This window comes from Homo sapiens, chromosome 12, assembly GCF_000001405.40.
Source record: "Homo sapiens chromosome 12, GRCh38.p14 Primary Assembly".
NCBI classification, from domain to species: Eukaryota; Metazoa; Chordata; class Mammalia; order Primates; family Hominidae; genus Homo; species Homo sapiens.
Window position 1 is genome coordinate 73,977,732 of NC_000012.12, and position 3,752 is coordinate 73,981,483.

Consider the following 3,752-nt stretch of genomic DNA (forward strand, 5'->3'; position numbering starts at 1 on the left):
AGAAAACAGTTAATTTTGGCAGCATTAAAATGAGAAGGAAAATAACACTTATTAGATGCTTTTGATATGCTAGGCATTGTGCTAGAGACTCCACATACATTTGCGATGATTAAAAAGTGAAACTTCAAGGTTAAGGAAATAGAAGCGAGGTGAAAAGAAAAAGAACTAAGAATTACTTCAAGAATGCATGGGGGCCGGAGGAGCCAAGATGGCCGAATAGGAACAGCTCCAGTCTACAGCTCCCAGCGTGAGCGACGCAGAAAACGGGTGATTTCTGCATTTCCATCTGAGGTACTGGGTTCATCTCACTAGGGAGTGCCAGACAGTGGGCGCAGGAAGCGCAAGGGGTCAGGGAGTTCCCTTTCCTAGTCAAAGAAAGGGGTGACAGACTGCATCTGGAAAATCGGGTCGCGCCCACCCAAATACTGCGCTTTTCCGACGGGCTTAAAAAATAGCGCACCACGAGATTATATCCGACACCTGGCTTGGAGGGTCCTACCCCACGGAGTCTCGCTGATTGCTAGCACAGCAGTCTGAGATCAAACTGCAAGGCGGCAGCGAGGCTGGGGGAGGGGCGCCCACCATTGCCCAGGCGTGCTTAGGTAAACAAAGCAGCCAGGAAGCTCCAACTGGGTGAAGCCCACCACAGCTCAAGGAGGCTGGACTGCCTCTGTAGGCTCCACCTCTGGGGGCAGGGCACAGACAAACAAAAAGACAGCAGTAACCTCTGCAGACTTAAATGTCCCTGTCTGACAGCTTTGAAGAGAGCAGTGGTTCTCCCAGCATGCAGCTGGAGATCTGAGAACGGGCAGACTGCCTCCTGAAGTGGGTCCCTGACCCCTGACCACCGAGCAGCCTAACTGGGAGGCACCCCCCAGCAGGGGCACACAGACATCTCACACAGCAGGGTACTCCAACAGACCTGCAGCTGAGGGTCCTGTCTGTTAGAAGGAAAACTTAACAAACAGAAAGGACATCCACACCAAAAACCCATCTGTACATCACCATCATCAAAGACCAAAAGTAGATAAAACCACAAAGATGGGGAAAAAACAGAACAGAAAAACTGGAAACTCTAAAAAGCAGAGTGCCTCTCCTCCTCCAAAGGAACGCAGTTCCTCACCAGCAACGGAACAAAGCTGGACGGAGAATGACTTTGACGAGCTGAGAGAAGAAGGCTTCAGACGATCAAATTACTCTGAGCTACGGGAAGACATTCAAACCAAAGGCAAAGAAGTTGAAAACTTTGAAAAAAATTTAGAAGAATGTGTAACTAGAATAACCAATACAGATAAGTGCTTAAAGGAGCTGATGAAGCCGAATGCCAAGGCTCGAGAACTACATGAAGAATGCAGAAGCCTCAGGAGCCAATGCAATCAACTGGAAAAAAGGGTATCAGCAATGGAAGATTAAATGAATGAAATGAAGCGAGAAGGGAAGTTTAGAGAAAAAAGAATAAAAAGAAATGAGCAAAGCCTCCAAGAAATATGGGACTATGTGAAAAGACCAAATCTACGTCTGATTGGTGTACCTGAAAGTGATGGGGAGAATGGAACCAAATTGGAAAACACTCTGCAGGATATTATCCAGGAGAACTTCCCCAATCTAGCAAGGCAGGCCAACGTTCAGATTCAGGAAATACAGAGAACGCCACAAAGATACTCCTCCAGAAGAGCAACTCCAAGACACATAATTGTCAGATTCACCAAAGTTGAAATGAAGGAAAAAATGTTAAGGGCAGCCAGAGAGAAAGGTCGGGTTACTCTCAAAGGGAAGCCCATCAGACTAACAGCGGATCTGTTGGCAGAAACCCTACAAGCCAGAAGAGAGTGGGGGCCAATATTCAACATTCTTAAAGAAAAGAATTTTCAATGCAGAATTTCATATCCAGCCAAACTAAGCTTCATAAGTGAAGGAGAAATAAAATACTTTACACACAAGCAAATGCTGAGACATTTTGTCACCACCAGGCCTGCCCTAAAAGAGCTCCTGAAGGAAGTGCTAAACATGGAAAGGAACAACCAGTACCAGCCGCTGCAAAATCATGCCAAAATGTAAAGACCATCGAGACTAGGAAGTAAATGCATCAACTAACGAGCAAAATAACCAGCTAACATCATAATGACAGGATCAAATTCACACATAACAATAATAACTTTAAATGTAAATGGACTAAATGCTCCAATTAAAAGACACAGCCTGGCAAATTGGATAAAGAGTCAACACCCATCAATGTGCTGTATTCAGGAAACCCATCTCACGTGCAGAGACACACATAGGCTCAAAATAAAAGGATGGAGGAAGATCTACCAAGCAAATGGAAAACAAAAAAAAGGCAGGGGTTGCAATCCTAGTCTCTGATAAAACAGACTTTAAACCAACAAAGATCAAAAGAGACAAAGAAGGCCATTACATAATGGTAAAGGGATCAATTCAACAAGAAGAGCTAACTATCCTAAATATATATGCACCCAATACAGGAGCACCCAGATTCATAAAGGAAGTCCTGAGTGACCTACAAAGAGACTTAGACTCCCACATATTAATAATGGGAGACTTTAACACCCCACTGTCAACATTAGACAGATCAACGAGACAGAAAGTCAATAAGGATACCCAGGAATTGAACTCAGCTCTGCACCAAGCGGACCTAATAGACATCTACAGAACTCTCCACCTCAAATCAACAGAATATACATTTTTTTCAGCACCACACCACACCTATTCCAAAATTGACCACATACTTGGAAGTAAAGCTCTCCTCAGCAAATGTAAAAGAACACAAATTATAACAAACTATCTCTCAGACCACAGGGCAATCAAACTAGAACTCAGGATTAAGAATCTCACTCAAAACCGCTCAACTACATGGAAACTGAACAACCTGCTCCTGAATGACTACTGGGTACATAACGAAATGAAGGCAGAAATAAAGATGTTCTTTGAAACCAATGAGAACAAAGACACAACATACCAGAATCTCTGGGACGCATTCAAAGCAGTGTGTAGAGGGAAATTTATAGCACTAAATGCCCATAAGAGGAAGCAGGAAAGATCCAAAATTGACACCCTAACATCACAATTAAAAGAACTAGAAAAGCAAGAGCAAACACATTCAAAAGCTAGCAGAAGGCAAGAAATAACTAAAATCAGAGCAGAACTAAAGGAAATAGAGACACAAAAAACCCTTCAAAAAATTAATGAATCCAGGAGCTGGTTTTTTGAAAGGATCAACAAAATAGATAGACCGCTAGCAAGACTAATAAAGAAAAAAAAGAGAGAAGAATCAAATAGACGCAATAAAAAATGATAAAGGGGATATGACCACTGATCCCACAGAAATACAAACTACCATCAGAGAATACTACAAACACCTCTACGCAAATAAACTAGAAAATCTAGAAGAAATGGATAAATTCCTTGACACATACACTCTCCCAAGACTAAACCAGGAAGAAGTTGAATCTCTGAATAGACCAATAACAGGATCTGAAATTATGGCAATAATCAATAGCTTACCAATCAAAAAGAGTCCAGGACCAGATGGATTCACAGCCGAATTCTACCAGATGTACAAGGAGGAGCTGGTACCATTCCTTCTGAAACTATTCCAATCAATAGAAAAAGAGGGAATCCTCCCTAACTCATTTTATGAGGCCAGCATCATTCTAATACCAAAGCCAGGCAGAGACACAACCAAAAAAGAGAATTTTAGACCAATATCCTTGATGAACATTGATGCAAAAATCCTC

At 42.5% G+C, this 3,752-nt stretch overlaps 1 annotated feature.

Annotated features, from left to right (window-relative positions):
- Positions 470-1,042: an enhancer, noted in NCBI's record as "NANOG-H3K27ac-H3K4me1 hESC enhancer chr12:74371981-74372553 (GRCh37/hg19 assembly coordinates)". NCBI's record gives its function as "activates a minimal SCP1, AML or CMV promoter by ChIP-STARR-seq in naive H9 embryonic stem cells {active_cell/tissue: H9 hESC(naive)}" and the evidence as "EXISTENCE:reporter gene assay evidence [ECO:0000049][PMID:30033119]".